Source organism: Homo sapiens, chromosome 12 (assembly GCF_000001405.40).
Source record: "Homo sapiens chromosome 12, GRCh38.p14 Primary Assembly".
In the NCBI taxonomy this organism is placed as follows: domain Eukaryota; kingdom Metazoa; phylum Chordata; class Mammalia; order Primates; family Hominidae; genus Homo; species Homo sapiens.
Window position 1 is genome coordinate 23,134,310 of NC_000012.12, and position 21,504 is coordinate 23,155,813.

General features: G+C 39.0%; 1 long non-coding RNA gene across 12 annotated transcripts in view, besides 1 other annotated feature; it reads left to right on the plus strand.

Moving 5' to 3' along the window:
* The window catches only part of LINC02955 (long intergenic non-protein coding RNA 2955), a 491,729-nt gene that overhangs the window by 434,451 nt on the left and 35,774 nt on the right, over positions 1-21,504 (plus strand). The gene's annotated exons all lie outside the window — the stretch shown is intronic.
* Positions 5,073-5,273: a silencer, noted in NCBI's record as "peak1605 fragment used in MPRA reporter construct". NCBI's record gives its function as "represses an SCP1 promoter by STARR-seq MPRAs in K562 erythroleukemia cells {active_cell/tissue: K562}" and the evidence as "EXISTENCE:reporter gene assay evidence [ECO:0000049][PMID:32103011]".

The window sequence follows — 21,504 nt, forward strand, 5'->3', positions numbered from 1 at the left end:
TGGTTATTAATCTACATGATCCAACCACATTGTGTGCCTTGTCAACACAAGGAGTGCAAAAGAGAGATAGATAGAGGCGTATTCTTAAAAGCTCTGAATAGATATTGCTTATAATTTTATTTGAAATTGGGTTTTTAAAATCATTTCCTTGTAAATTATTTGTATCTAATGACTGTCATATAATAGTCTCATATTTCTGTACTGATATACAGAGAAAAAAATTTCTTTGAGATTTCTAAGTGGTAATATTTTTACCTTTGAGTGAGGGTTCTTATTTTACAAAAATGTCCATTGGTCTAAACTTTAGAATATGAACATGGCAGATATGTGAGAGTATTTGTTAATTACCATAAATTTATAGATGGTGTCCCTCAATATTGCATATGGGAGCTGTATCAGAGAGGCTGTTTCTCACTGTAATTTATTCACTGATCTATTCATTCAACTAACATTGAGAGTACACTCTAAGAGGCACTATATTTGGAGGTAAGTGTGCCAAAAACATAAGATGGAATCCTGTCTCCAATGAGTTTATATCTAGCAGAAGGAGAAAGAAAAATGACAAGTGAATCTTACTGATGAGATTGGGTCATTGATCTGGGAGTACATGTTTATTGGCATGTTTTTGTTTGCTTAGGTTGAGTGTCCATCTACTACTCAACCACTCAAGGAGCATGAATTCTTCAAAATTATAATCGCTTCAGGAATCAATATGTATTAATGTTGATTATTTATGGAGAGTAAAATAAAATATAAAAGTAGTCTTAGGTATATACAGAGTAACATAGATCTCTGTTGAAAAGTAGTCTCCTTATATGTTTAAGGAGAATGAAGAAAAGCTCATACAAACTGACATTAGAGATAGATAATGAGAAGTACATTTAGCTCTTGCATAGATTCAAATACAAGAATATAATATTATTTACAAACACTTGGAGGAAAAACAACCAGCATTAGGGCATTAACAAAGAAAGAAGACGCAAGCCTGTTGTGTCTCTGGTTGGCTTGGTCACTATCAAATCAGTTATTGCCATTGCATGGACATGCTCCAGGGGTGGCTGATGACATTTATCTTCTTATTGGTGGTTCTAAACTGGGGTAGGCTGCTGCCTTGACTGCTCTTCCTGTAATAACTTCCAAGGACAACTGAGGCCACCTCGGGGAGTGGAAAACCTATGTCAGCAATTATATGCCAGCTACATTAGCTGCTACGTATGCAAAGGCAAATTAGACATGTGGTGGGTGCATTCATGGAGGCTACAAAATCAACACATAAATGAGAGGGATGCATAAGTAAGAAATCATTAAAAAGTTCCTAAATGCAAAGAAAAAGTTTCTAAATGCAAAGAAATATGTTTACAGTAGATATGAAGACAGTGCATTAGAAGTACACCTAACTCATGGCAGGAGGCTGCCATACTTTCCAGATTTCCCCGAGGAGCTAACCAATAAGCTGAGTCCTGGAGTGTGATCAGGAGTCACCCAAGGGAAGTAGGGAGTAAAAGGATATCCACAGAGGGAAAGATGCATTCAAAGTTAGAGAGGCAAGAGAGAGCGTGAGAGTGTGGCTGTTAGAGGGGAGAGGAATGTCACTGGACTTCACTTATTGACTGTGTTGGCTCCTGGCTGATCATTCTTGGTGACTTAAGCATTCTTATGAATATACTTTTCTGTACTTCTCCCTTCTCCTACCATCCCCCCAACAAGTAGACCCCAGTGTCTGTTGTTTCTTTCTTTGTGTTCCTAAGCTCTTATCATTTGGCTCCCACTTAAAAGTGAGAACATGCTGTATTTGGTGTTCTGTTCCTGAATTAGTTTGCTAAGGATAGTAGCCTCCAGCTCTATCCATGTTCCCACAAAAGACATGATCCTTTTCTTTTTTTATGGCTGCATAGTATTCTATGGTGTACATGTACTACATTTTCTTTATCCAGTCTGTCACTGATGGGCTTTAAGGCTGACTCCATGTCTTTGCTATTGTGAATAGTGCTGCAATCAACATTGATGTGCATATATCTTTATGGTAGAAAGCTTTCTATTCCTCTGGGTATTTCCCCAGTAATGAGATTGCTGTGTTGAATGGTAGCTCTCTGCTTTTAGCTCTTTGAGGAATAGCCATACTGCTTTCCACAATGGTTGCACTAATTTACACTTCCACCAACAGTGTATAAGTGTTCCCTTTTGTCCACAACCTTGCCAGCATTGGTCACTTTTTAACTTTTTGATAATAGCCATTCTTACTGGTGTGAGATGGCATCTCATTGTGCCTTTGATTTGCATTTCTTTAATGATCAGTGACATTGAGGGGCCAGATAGATACTATAGCAGCCATCCTAGTGAGAAAATGTGAGGGATAAGCAAGTTACTGCAGCTGGCATTTAAATACAGATTGAAAACAAGAACACATCGATCACTGTGCCAGTTAGTAGGCAGTTTGTGTGGAGGTGGAGGTGGAGGGGTGTTGACCAATGCTGAAAAGCAAGAAAAGAAGTGTCACCAAGGCCGGTCTGAGCAGCTTCCTGGGTGAGGGGTTATTGTATGACAAACTTTAAGAATTATAATGTATAACTTCCTAAAGTACTTCATAAATGAAGTACTGAGTCTTAGCCTGATTCTATTATATATTTAAATTATTCAACTCCCTTGCACTGATTCCATGCTTATTGGGCAAACATTTAACTATAATGTGACTTTTCATGTAGGTATTTCTATAGGGAAAGAGCCTGTCCTGGTCATATTGAGGGGAATATGAGATCTGCAATTTATTAAAATAATTTGGCTTACAGATTTGATGTATGGGTTTGATGATGTTGGTTATGGTGAGGCAGTTCCTATAAAATAAGGCTTCTGAACCTGTAAGGGCAGAATCTGGTCTTTGAGAAATTCATGAGGTATTATCTTCCTGCTAGGACTTGACTTTAGTGACATTTATGTCACTACCTCTCTCTTGTTTCTCAGTTATTTTTTATTTTTAGGGCTTACAATGTTACCTATAGAGAATCCAAGGAAGAGAGTTGGGGATGTTGATATGAGTTGAAATTGGGTAATGAAGAATTTGATATTCAAGCCAACAGATGTAGCAAACAACCGAAATTGGGTCTAGAAATTACTCCAGGTTGGAGACACGGACTTGAAAGTCACTAGCACATTGAAGAAGACCATGAGATTAGGCAAGACACCTTAGGAACAGTGAGTCAAGTGAGAAGACAACAGTAAAACCCCAAAAGATTGCCAATATTTAAGAGGTAGACAGTGGGAGAAAGAAAGAGGAATAAATGCCAGAGAAAGAAAGAGTGATCTGAGAGATAGGAATGGATTTCTGCAGCACAGAAACTAAGAAAGGAAGAAGGGCTTTCAAATATGAGGTAGTTCATAGTATGAAAAGGAAGCCAAATAAAATGATGAAGCTAAAAGGGTTTATTTTATTTAGTCAGAAAGGTTGTTGCTGATCTTGGAGGGGATGATTTCAGTGAAGTCATGGGACAGAGGCTGTATTTCAGGGATCTGAGAAGTGAACAGTATTTGGGTAAATGAGGGGCTGCAAGTATGGAAGTGGATGAAGTATTGATGCCCTGTGAGTCTGGAAAATTCCAGCTTAGCAAGTTAATTACTGGAAGTTATAAAGGTAAAAATGACCAAGATGTGCTGTCAAAATATGAAAGGTGCTGAATAATCTGTAAAATTCCATTTGTATCCACAAATAGAAAGCAGCTTTTCTCAACTCTGATTTTGTAAGAATTTTGGCCCTAATATCCTAAGAAGTCCATTGTATGTGATGCGTAAACTTCTTTCCCATGCATTGAGAGTGGTCCTAGTTGTCACAAGAATTGAGAAAAATGTCACTCAAATAATTTTCTGTGTTCTGATGCATTAGCATCACCTGGGAGTGTGCTGGAAGTGCAGAAACTCAGGGGCCACCCAGACCTACTGGATAAGAATCAGCATTTTTACAATATCCTCTTAGGATTGCAAACCATATTAAAGTTTTAAAGGCACTGCTTTAGAGCAACAGTTCTGAACCTTGACTGTTCTCTAGGCTCACATAAGGAACTTAAAAAGCTTACTGATGTTCAGCCCTCACCTTCACAGGTCCTGATTCAATTGGTCTAAGGTTGGACAAAGGCCGTGGCTTGTGAGCTACTTTCCAAAAGCTCACCAGGTGATTAAGTGAGGTCAGGGTTAAGAACCACTGGTCCTGGAAAATAAGAGCTTGGGTATCATAGAGCCCAGATTAGGATTTGAGAAAGAAGTAAGCTGACCACTGATCAGTAAAATGGAAGCTATGATGCTTTCTGATTTCTTAATTCAATGTTGTGGGAGGAAGATAAATGATACAAAACTCATTAACTGCTTTGAGTTTCATAGAGAAAAGTTAAACTTATAAATGTTATATAATATAATTATATGATAATGAAGATAAATATGCAAATGCTTAATTGAAACAGGGAATAAGATACCAAATGAAATCGCTCGAGAAAGCTTCACAAGAATTCGAAAGTAATAAAAAATAGTAAAGTGCATATGGCTGGGAAAATATATTTAAACTGTAACTTCCAAATGAATTTTAGCAATGAATTTATTATCTGCCCCCCGATTTTGAGTCAAGAGCATAAACACTGAAATTTCCAATCCAATTTTTTTAACAATTCTACTCTGGTTATACTAGTTATTGAAAGTTCAATGAGTTCAGTGACCTATTTTAAAAGCTTTATCTATACTGCCATGGATACAGATATTTGTATAATTATCTATCCAGTTTAGGATAATCTATGTACCCATAGGGCCAAGAATTTCTTAGGCTACAGTAAGGTATTTCGGTTGTATGAATTACTAGTATAACCGTGTCATCTTCTAAATTCATAAGGAAGTGTGCATAGGCTGAGGTCATTATTTCCCTCATTCTGAGAATGAATCACAGCTCAGAGCTTTCCCCGGAGTGCACCGTGCATTGTTTACTTGGTGCTTCCCTTCACAGAATTCTGTGCTTCATAAAAAATATACACTTTATATCTGTGTGGTGCTTTAACAATCATTTCCTCATGAAAGACTGATATGGTTTGGCTCTGTGTCCCCACCCAAATCTCATCTCACACTGTAATGCCTACATGTCCAGTGTCCAGAGAGGGACCTGGTGAGAGGTGATTGGATCATGGGCGTGGTTTCCCCCATGCTATTCTCATGATAGTGAGGAAGTTCTCACGGGATCTGGTTGTTGGATAAGTGTCTGGCCTCTCCCCTGCACTTTCATGCTCTCATTCTCTCTTTCTGTCTCTCTCTTACCTGCTGCCACGTAAGACATGCCTGCTTCCCCTTCCACCACTGGGAGGTGATTGGATCATGGGGGCGGGTTTCCCTCATGCTGTCCTCATGACAGTGAGTGAGTTCTCATGAGATCTGATGGTTTTATAAGTGGCAGTTTCCCCTGCTCTCCTATTTCTTTCCTGCTGCTTTGTGAAGAAGATATTTGCCTTCCACCATGATTGTAAGTTTCCTTAGGCCTCCCCAGCCATGCAGAACTGTGAGTCAATTCAACTTCTTTCTTTTATAAATTACCCAGTCTTGGGCAGTATCTTTTTGGCAGACTAATGCAGTGCCTTACTAATCATGCACAATATGCAGAGGAGAAGTTATTGTTTCAATTTAGGGATAATAAAACTGATTGATGTTTAAAGCAGTGAGTCCCCTAACATCTCAGGAATACTTGAAAACACTATTTATTGCCAATAATAGGCCACCTTCTGTTGAGAATATCTAGGTCTAGAACGTGGATTTTGTTAAGCAATCCAAGTGATTCTTCTATTTTCTTTCTTTCTTTTTTTTTTTTTTTTTTTGAGACGGAGTCACGCTCTGTCGCCCAGGCTGGAGTGCAGCGGCGCGATCTTGGCTCACTGCAAGCTCCGCCTCCCGGGTTCGCGCCATTCTCCTGCCTCAGCCTCCTGAGTAGCTGGGACTACAGGCGCCCACCACCACGCCCGGCTAATTTTTTGTATTTTTAGTAGAGACGGGGTTTCACTGTGTTAGCCAGGATGGTCTCGAGCTCCTGACCTCGTGATCCGCACGCCTTGGCCTTCCAAAGTGCTGGGATTACAGGCGTGAGCCGCCGCGCCCGGCTCTATTTTCTTTCATTTACACTTTGTCCTACAGTTTTTCTAGTTCCTCCCTCTTCAATTTGATTTTCATTTATTCTCCCCTTCTTTTCTCATTTTTCTTTAATCCTGTGTCATTTGCCACTTGTTATCTTATACCTGTTTCCCCCTTGCTTTATATTACAAAATTCCAGTTTTAACCATAGCGTCATCTACCCCAAACTGAGAATTTTATACATTCCTATTCATATCATGATGATAATAAGTTAAGTTGAAACTTGACAAGTGGCTAAACTACTGGTGTTTTCTTGTTTAATCTACATAACTGAGGAGTGTGTACTATTTTTTCAGGGGCTATTGGCAGCTTTCAAGAAGTGTCTCACACATTACACCTTACCAAGCATTACTTTTTTCTGTGTTCTTTGAGCTCTGGTTTCTTTCCCCAATAGAACCAAAAACCAAATATTTTATCAAAGTGACAGTGTGGTATTCATTTTTCAGATTTCTAGTTCTTGGAAGGGTGCCTTCAAAAGCCACAAAGTTCTCTAATTGTCCAGAGCACCTGCTTCAAAATACCTCAGTGTTAAACTATTTGTTTTTTCCCCTTAGAAGACCATAGTACAAGTTCTGTTAACATTTTGACACCAGGCCAAAATATACAACATTCATTTAAGATTGAGTATTAAAGGCCCTATTCACCATTTTTTAAGAGAAGGGAAAAAAGGAATAAGGGTCTTTCACACTTTCCCTCTGTAATTATGAATGTAAAACTATTCTTGATTCATTTACCTAGCAGATGGAAACATTGTGAGGCTTTACTGTATAGTTCACTCATATTTTCCAGCAAAAAATATTGATTTTATTCATTTATTTTGGATTTATTTTGCCTCTTTTTTCATGGCCTTTAAGGTGCAAAAATAAGGCAGAGCTTTTTATATTAGTCAAATCAGTCATGCATATAGGTAAGTGCCTAATACCCAGAATAAGTGCCACTGGGCATCTAACCATAGCTCTGGCCAGCTGCACATAGCTGTCCTTGTTCTACCAGGCCCTACCCCTCTACTCCTTAATGCTCCCACAGTTCCTGCATCCTGGACACCTTTGAAAGGAGCATGTTCTTGCTTTGTGTAATTGCTGACTGGCAATTCCTAAGCCCTGCTGGCTCAAAGTGCCCTCTGCTTGTTCTCCTTCCCCTTTGGGTTTTCCAGTGGACAGGTATTGGTGAGTACCTTGGGAAGAAGTTAAAAGTTATTTTCATTGAATTTTGCTTGGATGAATTAAAGTATATACACATGAATGTATAGGGAGAAATGGCATGTGATATAATCCTCCCCAGGTCTGCCCCGACAATGCTTATCACATTCGTTGCACACACAACTTTTTTCTGAAGAGTTTGCACAAGTCTTCATGGTCTTTATAATCTTATCTGACATACTAGACAAGAGATAACTTAAAGACAACCTCTGTAGACTAGCCTGTCACCTAGGCCATGATGGTTCTAAGGCTCACAACAGGGAACCTCAAACTGGATGATGACTGACTGAACCAAACAGTTCCTCTTTAAAAACAATAAGAAACACAGATAATATGTCAACAGTGACAGATTAATTAGAAGTAGAGAAAGGAAAGAGCTATAATTTCTACAGTGAAAGAGAAACCAAATCCTGTCTTCAAGGGGGATGGTTTAGATATGTGCATGAATGGTCCCGGTGTGGTGGCTCACACCTGTAATCCCAGGACTTTGGGAGGCAGAGATGGGAAGATCACTTGAGACCAGGAGTTTGAGCCCAGGCTGGTCAACATAGCGAGACGCTCATCTCTATTTAAAAAAAAAAAGTATGTATTTAAAAAGTAAGATATTTGCGTTAATGTTGCTTCTTACCCAATAGCCTCTTCAAATCCTTGAAGTTCTCACCTCAATGACCTTCTTTTCCACCATACTTTAGCTATCTCCCCCTTTGGCCCCAATTGCTAACTCATGTCATCATTTATAACTGTTCTACTTCTCAAATTACTAATTTAAACCATTACTTCAGTTATTGCAATCATCATTTCTCTATGACTTCGATGAGATCATCAGCCTCATGTATCTTCTGCTTTCTTCTAAGTAATAAGTTCTTCTTTTATTAATTTTGTTCTTATGCAGGTTAGATTCCCTTATACATCATGAAGTAACAATATACCCTAAGATGTGGATTTACTTGCCCCTCTGTGTTTTTGTTGCATCTAGAAACTCCTTAGAAAAGATGAACCTCCTTTCTCTGGACCTGTACCCTGGCAGCTGGAAACTGCTAGAAAAATTCACACAATAGGACAGACAAGTTTCACCAGAAATTCAGGTTCACCAAAAAGGAAACTCCATTGCTTGGCAGTCTTGCAATATTTCTTTAGTTGAACTCACACTTACTCCTTCAAATTATTTTTAAAAACATTATCTGTATTTCTCAACTTTATTTCCCTTATTTCCTGCCACTTATTTCCAGGTGGGAAGGTCCTCATCTTTCTAAAATCAATTTAGATTTTACCAAGTCTGCCTCATCTGTTCCTAATCTTCTTTTAAGGTTCATAATTTCACTATTCTTCCTGCATCCCATTTTTATTTAAATTTTACTTTAAATTCTGGGATACATGTGCTGAACGTGTAGGTTTGTTACATAGGTATACATGTGCCATGGTGGTTTGCTGCACCTATCATCTAGGTTTTAAGCCCCACATGCATTAGGCATTTGTCCTAAGGCTCTCCTTCCCCTTTCCCCCAACCCCTAACAGGCCCTGGTGTGTGATGTTCCCCTCCCTGTGTCCATGTGTTCTCATTGTTCAGAGTGAGAATATGCGGTGTTTGGTTTTCTGTTCCTGTATTACTTTGCTGAGAATGATGGTTTCCAGCTTCATCCATGTCCCTGCAAAGGACATGAACTCATCCTTTTTTATGGCTGCATAGTATTCCATGGTGTATAGGTGCCACATTTTCTTTATCCAGTCTATCACTGATGGGCATTTGGGTTGTTTCCAAGTCGTTGCTCTTGTGAATAGTGTTGCAATAAACATATGTGTTCATGTGTCTTTATAGTAGAATGATTTATAATCCTTTGGGTATATACCCAGTAATGGGATTGCTGGGTCAAATAGTATTTCTGGTTCTAGATCCTTGAGGAATCACCACACAGTCTTCCACAATGGTTGAACTAATTTACATTCCTACCAACAGTGTAAAAGCCTTCCTATTTCTCCACATCCATGCCAGCATCTGTTGTTTCCAGACTTTTTAATGATTGCCATCCTAACTGGCGTGAGATGATATCTCATTTTGGTTTTGATTTCCATTTATCTAATGACCAGTGATGATGGTAAGCTTTTGTTCATATGTTTATTGGCCACATAAAAGTCTTCTTTTGAGAAGTGTCTGTTCATGTCCTTCACCCGCTTTTTGATAGGGTTGTTTTTTTTTTTCTTGTAAATTTGTTTAAGTTCCTTGTAGATTCTGGATATCAGACCTTGTCAGATGGATAGACTGCAAAAATTTTCTCCCATTCTGTAGGTTGCCTGTTCACTCTGATGATAGTTTCTTTTGCTGCCTGCATCCCATTTCTTTCCTGCTTTTGAGAAACCTGCATTTTGTCTTTCTCACTTCTGTCAATTCAATGTCTCACTCTTTCAAATGGGTTCTTTCCATTGACTTTTGGGGATTATTAAATTTTTTGCTTTAAAAATGCAGAATATTAAAAAACAAAACTGATTGTACAAAACCAATTGTACAGTTACCACATCTCAGAGTTAACACATTGTTAATATTTTCTAATGTTTTCTCTGATTTATACCTTAAAAAACAAAATATATAAAAATTGTAAAACAAATACACTTTATTCCCTTTCTCAATCCCAGTTGTCCCCTCTCTTTTCCAACTCCTAGCACTACTTTGTGAGTTTTATTTTTGTAAATAAATAATCTCATGCTGTGTCTGATTTTTAAATTCAATATTATGTTGTGAAATATATTCATGTCGATACACATAGTTCTATAATAGTACATTGTAGTTTTCTTCCATACATTATGTTATTGAATATGCCAATGTATCTTCCCCATATTCTTTTTGTTATTACACGTGGTGCTGCCATGAACATCCTTATTCTTGTGTCCCCCATTGGCTTCTTACCATGCTGAGTCTGGCCCTATTCCTTCCCAGATATCACCCTATGTCTCTTCCTAACCTCAAAATCAGTTTGTCAGGATGTCACTATTTTCTCATCTCTCACTTCTGCAATTCCTTCAGTTTGTCTTGTTGTCCTGTAATTTCACCAAAAACAGTTCTTGCTTAATTAGAAGGCAGTGAGGAAGTTCAGCACATAATAAACATGATGCACAGTACATAGACTCTATTGTTACTGTCCCTTGTTATCCAAATTAGTGAATCTAATATTCATTTCCACTAAGGCCACAAAGTCAATTGCAAGGTGGCAATGAATCGAACAGCAACAGTAACACACTTCTAGGGTTCTGTACTTAAAATTTTAAAGCATTACGACATGTTATGGAAAAAGAGAGGAATTAAGTATGATTAATTAATTGTACAAAGGAGCCTGAAGCTAAAAAGGTAATTCAGTGAATTGTCTAAAGTTCCATGTAAAACTCCAATGCATGAAAAATATCACCTAGCTCTCATTCATATATTGACTTATCCTTGAAAAAATATATGGGGCTATATACTCATAAAGTTCTACCAAGTTCAATGAATGGCACAAAGAAGTCACTACCCTTTTTTCCTGGAACTCACAGTCTAATGAGAACATGTGTGATAAGGTTTGTACTAAGATTGTGAAGTGATCTCTTCTAGCACAAGGAATGGGAAACCCAACTGCCTAGAGGGGTTTGGGAAGCCTTGAGCAAGGAATACTTTTAGATGGCATTAAAGGATGAGAAAGAACCCAATGGAGAAAGAAGGGTGTAGGAAGCGCATTTCAGAAAAAGGGTGACAACATGAGCAGAGCGTATGAGCCTGACAGCACATGGAGTGTGTGAAGATGAGCTGGCAGTTTGACACACAGTAGGTACTCAATAAATATTTGGTAATGGTGTGAATAAGTGAAAGAAAGGGGGCACATGGAGTCTTGCTGCTGAGAATATGATAAGAAAGCCGAGGAGCAACTTTGGTTCAGTTGCACTGTTCTGATCCATCCTGAAAGAAGAAAAAGAGGAGACAAGGAGTGATTTCTGTCTTCCATGTCACATTTCATAACATGGTCAAAAAGTTGTTTACAACCGTTCATTTGCTGTTAAGACTCCTCACAAACACTCTCAGATGAGTAAGTTCTGTAGTGAGAGAGTTTACGTCTGATTTCTTGGTAGCCCTTTGAATGGTTGTCAAACCATCATGGTGATGTGATGGAGGTAAAGGCACTGATGGACAAGGCAAAGGGTAGACTTGCTTTAAAATAGGTAGGGTAGAGGGAGGAACCAAGATGGCCGAATAGGAACAGCTCCAGTCTACAGCTCCCAGCGTGAGCGACACAGAAGATGGATGATTTCTGCATTTCCAACTGAGTTACCAGGTTCATCTCACTGGGGAGTGCCAGACAGTAGTTGCAGGACAGTGGGTGCAGTCCACTGTGTGCGAGCCGAAGGAGGGCGAGGCATCGCCTCACCGGGGAAGCACAAGGGGTCAGGGAATTCCTGTTCCTAGTCAAAGAAAGCGGTGACAGATGGCACCTGGAAAATCGGGTCACTCCCACCCTAATACTGCGCTTTTCCAATGGGCTTAAAAAACGGCACACCAGGAGATTATAATCCGCACCTGGCTCAGAGGGTCCTCCGCCCACGGAGTCTCGCTCATTGCTAGCACAGTAGTCCAAGATGAAACTGCAAGGTGGCAGCGAGGCTGGGGGAGGGGCGCCCGGCATTGCCGAGGTAGTTATTTGATTAGGTAAACAAAGTGGCAGAGAAGCTCGAACTGGGCGGAGCCCACCACAGCTCAAGGAGGCCTGCCTGCCTCTGTAGGCGCCACCTCTGGGGGCAGGGCACAGACAAACAAAAAGACAGCAGTCACCTCTGCAGACTTAAATGTCCCTCTCTGACAGCTTTGAAGAGAGTAGTGGTTCTCCCAGCATGCAGCTTTAGATCTGAGAACGGGCAGACTGCCTCCTCAAGTGGGTCCCTAACCCCTGAGTAGCCTAACTGGGAGGCACCCCCCCAGTAGGGGCAGACTGACACCTCACATGGCTGGCTACTCCTCTGAGACAAAACTTCCAGAGGAAAGATCAGGCAGCAGCATCTGCAGTTCACCAAGATCCGCTGTTCTGCAGCCACCGCTGCTGATACCGGGGCAAACAGGGTCTGGAGTGGACCTCTAGCAAACTCCAACAGACCTGCAGCTGAGGGTCCTGTCTGTTAGAAGGAAAACTAACAAACAGAAAGGACATCCACACCAAAAACCCATCTGTACATCACCATCATCAAAGATCAAAGGTAGATAAAACCACAAAGATGGGAAAAAAGCAGAGCAGAAAAACTGGAAACTCTAAAAATCAGAGCGCCTCTCCTCCTCCAAAGAAATGCAGCTCCTCACCAGCAACAGAACAAAGCTGGACGGAGAATGACTTTGACGAGTTGAGAGAAGAAGGCTTCAGATGATCAAACTACTCCAAGCTACAGGAGGAAATTCAAACCAATGGCAAAGAAGTTAAAAGCTTTGAAAAAAAATAAGATGAATGGATAACTAGAATAACCAATGCAGAGAAGTCCTTAAAGGACCTGATGGAGCTGAAGACCAAGGCATGAGAGCTACGTGACGAATGCAGAAGCCTCAGTAGCCAATGCGATCAACTGGAAGAAAGGATATCAGCGATGGAAGATGAAATGAATGAAATCACGTGAGAAGAGAAGTTTAGAGAAAAAAGAATAAAAAGAAATAAACAAAGCCTTCAAGAAATATGGGACTATGTGAAAAGACCAAATCTATGTCTAATTGGTGTACCTGAAAGTGATGGGGAGAATGGAACCAAGTTGGAAAACACTCTGCAGGATATTATCCAGGAGAACATCCCCAATCTAGCAAGGCAGGCCAACATTCAAATTCAGGAAATACAGAGACCGCCACAAAGATACTCCTCGAGAAGAGCAACTCCAAGACACATAATTGTCAGATTCACCAAAGTGGAAATGAAGGAAAAAATGTTAAGGGCAGCCAGAGAGAAAGGTCGGGTTACCCACAAAGGGAAGCCCATCAGACGAAGAGCTGATCTCTCGGCAGAAACTCTACAAGCCAGAAGAGAGTGGGGACCAATATTCAACATTCTTAAAGAAAAGAATTTTCAATCCAGAATCCCATATCCAGCCAAACTAAGCTTCATAAGTGAAGGAGAAATAAAATACTTTACAGACAAGCAAATGCTGAGAGATTTTGTCACCACCTAGCCTGCCCTAAAAAAGCTCCTGAAGGAAGCACTAAACATGGAAAGGTACAACCGGTACCAGCCACTGCAAAAACATGCCAAATTGTAAAGACCTTCAAGGCTAGGAAGAAACTGCATCAACTAATGAGCAAAATAACCAGCTAACATCATAATGGCAGGATCAAATTCACATATAACAATATTAACTTTAAATGTAAATGGGCTAAATGCTCCAATTAAAAGACACAGACTGGCAAATTGGATAAAGAGTCAAGACCCATCAGTGTGCTGTATTCAGGAAACCCATCTCACATGCAGAGACACAGATAGGCTCAAAATAAAATGATGGAGGAAGATCTACCAAGCAAATGGAAAACAAACAAAAAAAAAGGCAGGGGTTGCAATCCTAGTCTCTGATAAAGCAGACTTTAAATCAACAAAGATCAAAAGAGACAAAGAAGGCCATTACATAATGGTAAAGGGATCAATTCAACAAGAAGAGCTAACTATCCTAAATATATATGCACCCAATACAGGAGCACCCAGATTCATAAAGCAAGTCCTGAGAGACCTACAAAGAGACTTAGACTCCCACAGAATAATAATGGGAGACTTTAACACCCCACTGTCAACATTAGACAGATCAACGAGACAGAAAGTTAACAAGGATACCCAGGAATAGAACTCAGCTCTGCACCAAGTGGACCTAATAGACATCTACAGAACTCTCCACCCCAAATCAACAGAATATACATTATTTTCAGCACCACACCACACTGCTCCAAAATTGACCACATAGTTGGAAGTAAAGCACTCCTCAGCAAATGTAAAAGAATAGAAATTATAACAAACTGTCTCTCAGACCACAGTGCAATCAAACTAGAACTCAGGATTAAGAAACTCACTCAAAACCGCTCAACTACATGGAAACTGAACAACCTGCTCCTGAATGATTACTGGGTACATAACGAAATGAAGGCAGAAATAAAGATGTTCTTTGAAACCAACGAGAACAAAGACACAACATACCAGAATCTCTGGGACACATTCAAAGCAGTGTGTAGAGGGAAATTTATAGCACTAAATGCCCACAAGAGAAAGCAGGAAAGATCCAAAATTGACACCCTAACATCACAATTAAAAAAGCTAGAAAAGCAAGAGCAAACACATTCAAAAGCTAGCAGAAGGCAAGAAATAATTAAAATCAGAGCAGAACTGAAGGAAATAGATACACAAAAAACCCTTCAAAAAATTAATGAATCCAGGAGCTGGTTTTCTGAAAAGATAACAAAATTGATAGACTGCTAGCAAGACTAATAAAGAAGAACAGAGAAGAATCAAATAGACGCAATAAAAAACGATAAAGGGGATATAACCACCGATCCCACAGAAATACAAACTACCATCAGAGAATACTATAAACACCTCTATGCAAATAAACTAGAAAATCTAGAAGAAATGGATAAATTCCTCAACACATACATCTTCCCAAGACTAAACCAGGAAAAAGTTGAATCTCTGAATAGACCAGTAACTGGCTCTGAAATTGAGGCAATACTCAATAGCTTACCAACCAAAAAAAGTCCAAGACCAGATGGATTCACAGCTGAATTCTACCACAGGTACAAGGAGGAGCTGCTACCATTCCTTCTGAAACTATTCCAATCAATAGAAAAAGAGGGAATCCTCCCTAACTCATTTTATGAGGCCAGCATCATCCTGACACCAAAGCCTGGCAGAGACACAACCAAAAAAGAGAATTTTAGACCAATATCCTTGATGAACATCGATGCAAAAATCCTCAATAAAATACTGGCAAACTGAATCCAGCAGCACATCAAATAGCTTATCCACCACGATCAAGTGGGCTTCATCCCTGGGATGCAAGGCTGGTTCAACATACGCATATCAATAAATGTAATCCAACATATAAACAGAACCAAAGACAAAAACCACATGATTATCTCAATAGATGCAGAAAAGGCCTTTGACAAAATTCAACAGTCCTTCATGCTAAAAACTCTCAATAAATTAGGTATTGATGGGACGTATCTCAAAATAATAAGAGCTAGCTATGACAAACCCACAGCCAATATCATACTGAATGGGCAAAAACTGGAAGCATTCCCTTTGAAAACTGGCACAAGACAGGGATGCCCTCTCTCACCACTCCTATTCAACAGAGTGTTGGAAGTTCTGGCCAGGGCAATTAGGCAGGAGAAGGAAATAAAGGGTATTCAATTAGGAAAAGAGGAAGTCAAATTGTTCCTGTTTGCAGATGACATGATTGTATATCTAGAAAACCCCATCGTTTCAGCCCAAAATCTCCTCAAGCTGATAAGCAACTTCAGCAAAGTCTCAGGATACAAAAATCAATGTACAAAAATCACAAACATTCTTATACACCAATAACAGACAAACAGAGAGCCAAATCATGAGTGAACTCCCATTCACAATTGCTTCAAAGAGAATAAAATACCTAGGAATCCAACTTACAAGGGATGTGAAGGACCTCTTCAAGGAGATCTACAAACCACTGCTCAATGAAATAAAAGAGGATACAAAGAAATGAAAGAATATTCCATGCTCATGAATAGGAAGAATCAATATCATGAAAATGGCCATACTGCCCAAGGTAATTTATAGATTCAATGCCATCTCCATCAAGCTACCAATGACTTTCTTCACAGAATTGGAAAAAACTACTTCAAAGTTCATATGGAACCAAAAAAGAGCCCGCATCACCAAGTCAATCCTAAGCCAAAAGAACAAAGCTGGAGGCATCATGCTACCTGACTTCAAACTATGCTACAAGGCTACAGTAACCAAAACAGCATGGTACTGGTACCAAAACAGAGATACGGACCAATGGAACAGAACAGAGTTCTCAGAAATAATGCCACATATCTACAACTATCTGATCTTTGACAAACCTGACAAAAACAAGAAATGGGGAAAGGATTCCCTATTTAATAAATGGTTCTGGGAAAACGGGCTAGCCATATGTAGAAAGCTGAAACTGGATCCCTTCCTTACACCTCATAGAAAAATTAATTCAAGATGGATTAAAGACTTAAATGTTAGACCTAAAACCTTATAAACCCTAGAAGAAAACTTAGGCAATACCATTGAGGACATAGGCATGGGCAAGGACTTCATGTCTAAAACACCAAAAGCAATGGCAACAGAAGCCAAAATTGACAAATGGGATCTAATTAAACTAAAGAGCTTCTGCATAGCAAAAGAAATTACCATCAGAGTGAACAGGGAACCTACAGAATGGGAGAAAATGTTTGCAATCTACTCATCTGACAAAGGGCTAATATCCAGAATCTACAATGAACTCAAACAAATTGACAAGAAAAAAACAAACAACCCCATCAAAAAGTGGGCAAAGGATATGAACAGACACTTCTCAAAAGAAGACATTTATGCAGCCAAAAAACACATGAAAAAATGCACATCATCACTGGCCATCAGAGAAATGCAAATCAAAACCACAATGAGATATCATCTCACACCAGTTAGAATGGCAATCATTAAAAAGTCAGGAAACAACAGGTGCTGGAGAGGATGTGGAGAAATAGGAACACTTTTACACTGTTGGTGGGACTGTAAACTAGTTCAACCATTGTGGAAGTCAGTGTGGCGATTCCTCAGGGATCTAGAACTAGAAATACCATTTGACCCAGCCATCCCATTACTGGATATATACCCAAAGGATTATAAATCATGCTGCTATAAAGACACATGCACACGTATGTTTATAGCAGCACTATTCACAATAGCAGAGACTTGGAACCAACCTAAATGTCCAACAATGATAGACTGGATTAAGAAAATGTGGCACATATACACCATGGAATACTATGCAGCCATAAAAAATAATGAGTTCATGTCCTTTGTAGGGACATGGATGAAACTGGAAACCATCTTTCTCAGCAAACTATTGCAAGGACAAAAAACCAAACACCGCATGTTCTCACTCATAGGTGGGAATTGAACAATGAGAACACATGCACACAGGAAGGGGAATATCACACACCGGGTACTGTTGTGGGGTGGGGGGAGGGGGGAGGGATAGCATTAGGAGATATACCTAATGCCAAATGATGAGTTAATGGGTGCAGCACACCAACATGGAACATGTATACATATGTAACAAACCTGCACGTTGTACACATGTACCCTAAAACTTAAAGTATAATAATAAAATTAAAAAAAATTATACATATATAAAAAAATATATATATTAGATGCCAGAGCTACTTGCCATTTTCTCTAGGAAGATTTTTTAAATAAGGACAGGAAAATGCCTCATAATTTTATGACTTATTTCAAGTAGTTTTACTGAGAATGTTAAAAAATTTTTTCAGGCTAATTATTTTGTTTAATTTGTTTTAGGAATTGCAGGAACAGCAGGATTAATATTTTAATAAAATGGTTTACAATGGCAAAAATAAATAAATAAATAAAATAAAGTAGGTAGGGTAACACAACTTCCTCCCATAGATGGTTGCCCAGTACAAGGATCCAGATCTGACTCCAGGCCAATCAGGCAAAATTCTGTGGCCCTCAGATTCCTCCAGAAGTGCTCAGCTGCCAATGATACCATTTGAAGAGGAGAAGATACTTTCAAGCTCTTTGCAAAAATCTTGTTTGCTGATCTGCCAAGAATTTTTATAACCTCCTAGCCCTCCTGAATGTTCTGAAAGCTCTGCTTATATGCCTGTCTCATCACGAAGCAGAAGTAACTACAAACAGTCCCAGAAAATTGTTGAATACGTCCTATACATATGGGAAAATCAGAAAATCAGAAGGGTACCACTACCCAAGATGTCCAGATCCAGTCCTTCAGGCCTGCTTCAGTTCTATTCTGGCACATCCTAGAATAAATTTGTTCCTCAAGACATATGGTTTTATGACATGGATGCATCAACAAGTAGAACTGAACAAGTAGAAGGGACCTCTAAAAATGTCCTTTAATTTTAAGACTTAGACCACCTCCCTAAACTAGAGGAAATCTTTGATGCATTGCTTATCTCCTGTGTTTAAAAAGTGTACAGTTGAGAACTGGAACCATAAAAATACCATACACTATGAACTAGTAGAAGTTGCTAGATGGACTCAGAGGGAAGAAATGTATTGTCTACATTTGTAAGTTCTCCCTTTTTTGATATTTATCATTTTCTTCATCAGTGAAGAAAAGCTATATTGTTAATTAACTTACTTTCTGTAAAACAACAATAATTTCTGCCTTATGAGGTTGAGCTGAGTATTAAATTTTTAAAAATTATTAAGTTTATACAGTCACATTGTAAAAGCCCTCAAAATGGCAGCTGCCATCATCATCATCATAATCATTTATTCACATCAAATTTGGTTTTATAAAATATTTGAGGTGGCTTTTGTTAAAAGATACATGTATGTTAAAGCTATTAAAATAAGAATAATGAATTTTTAAAAAACAGAAGTATTAAATTTCATTCTGAGTTTTTTCCTGAAGCAAACATGTATGCATAATTACTTACATAATAAATATAAACTGACAAAAGGAAAGATACCTGTTATTCAGAAGGACAGATTTTTTTCTTGGCACTAAAGTATGAATGTAATTTTTTTTTCTTTTTTCTTTTTTTTTTTGAGACAGGGTCTCACAGTGTTGTCCGGGCTGGAGTGCAATAGCACAATCTCATCTCACTGCAACCTCCATCTCCTGGGTTCAAGCAATTCTCCTGCCTCAGCCTCCCAAGTAGTTGGAATTGCAGGCACCCGACATCACACCCGGCTAATGTTAGTATTTTTAGTTGAGACAGGGTTTTGCCATGTTGGCTAGGCTGGTCTTGAACTCCTGTCCTCAGGTAATCCACCTGCCTCAGCCTCCCAAAGTGCTGGGATTACAGGCATGAGCTACCATGCCTGGCCTGAATGTAATTTCTTATAAGATATAGTTTATAAATGATAATGAATAACACAATTGACAGTGTATTCAACAATGATTTCACAGAAAATCCAAAATATTTCTTCATTGCTTCAAAAATAAAGACATGTCATTATGTTATAACTTAGTAAAAATGTTTAAAAGTGAATGGCTTAACTTCTGCTCACAGAACCAAAAACTAGGATATAGCTTACATTTCTTAGATAAAGAAATGTATATTAAGTTAGTGGTTCCCAAAACTGAATATGAATTGAAATCACTCAATGAACTTTTAAAAAAATTCTAGGAATCTGCCCCAGAGCTACTGAAGCTGATTTTCCTTGGGTTGGATTCAAGCATATGTATTGTTTTCCTTTCTTTTATGTTTGGTAGAATACACATAATATAAAATTTACTATCTTAACCACTTTTAATTGTACAATTCAATGTGCAACCATCACCACCAGCCATCTCCATGACTTTTTCCACCTTGTAAAAAAAACTCTACATCCATTAAACACTAACTTCCCATTTCCCCGCCACCCCAACCCTGGAAACCATTATTCTACTTTTTGTCTCTATGATTTTTGATTACTCTTAGTATCTCACATAAGTGGAATCATACAGTATTTATCTTTTTTGTGACTGGCTTATTTCACTTAGCATAATGTTCTCAAGATTCATATATGTAATATATTGCAGAATTTTCTTCTTTTTAAGGCTGAGCAATATTCCATTGTATTACTTTGTCTAATAATATTCCATTGTAATATTCCAATGCTGTCATCCATTTATTCTTTAATGGACACTGGGTTGCTTTCATGTTTTAGATAATGTCAGTAATGCTGCTATGAACGTGGTATACAAATATCTCTTCCAGGCCCTACTTTCCATTATTTTGTAACTAATGGAAGATGGGAATTGTAGAAAATACACCAAACTTATTTACTGTTTGGTAGGACACTTCTGAGATGTATTCCAACAATTCTTAAAGGACTCCCAGTAGGATGTTCCCCAGGAGGAGCCTGAGGATCCTTGCTGTGCTAGTGAATGTGACACAAATATTGTTGACAATCTCAGGTGTGACTGTCCTCTGTAGGCTAGAGTTAATAACAGCAGATGCTGCTCTAGAACTCCACTTCGCTCCACTCCACTCAGGGGATGAGACAGTCTGTGGCTGCTGAGGCCAGGTGGTGGCACTTAACTTTTAGAGGCAAATGGCCATAATTATCATAACAAGTAGGAAAGCCAAAAAGGTAGCCAAGTTGCTTAGGCCCTCTGGGATTTGTGGCAATGGCTAACACACTATTTTGTTCCTGGGGGCAAGATAGAGGGTCACACAATGAGGGAATGGCTTAATATATATAAGCCAAAAAGTAAAAATTAAAAGGCATCTGGGATGACAGCTATCAGCCACCACAATGGAAAATTATGATTTCTCACACATTGTATGACCTAACACTGATACCATGGAGCCCAAAATGGCACCCTGGTGTTGCTGATTAATAGGGTAGATACAGAAACTGAGTGATAAGTAGAATCTGGCCTGAGTGTACCTCATGCTGCTCCATTGGGTCCATGGTCCCATCCTATGATCATTTCCCCAGTCTCCGAGAGCACAATATGTTCACACCCTATATCTTTCCAGCAGAACCCTAACATCATTCCTTGGCTTATGGAATAACAGCTATTATGGTAGGAAAAGCCAAGTGGAGTGGCTCCAGTGGTGCAGTTGGTTAGCGCGTGGTGCTTATGAGGAAGGCCAAGTGGAAGCTCACAGATGGCCCCACTCACCTTCGCCAAGATGATAAATTAGAAGCAATATGACATCCTGGGTGGAATGTCAGAGTTTAATGCCACCTTAAAAGACAAAGGATGTAGTAGTGGTGGTGCCTATCATTTCCTTATTTAATCCACCAGTATGGCTCTGGCAAAAATCTTATAAATCATTGTACATGAAAATGTACTATCATAAACTTAGTCAAATGTAGCTACAATTCTAGCTGCTGGACTAAGGTTGTATCTTTCCTAAGTAGATCTCTTCAGCCTCTGCAGCTTTGTGTGCAGCGACTGATCTGGTGAATGGGTAATTTTTTTTTTTTTTTTTTTGAGA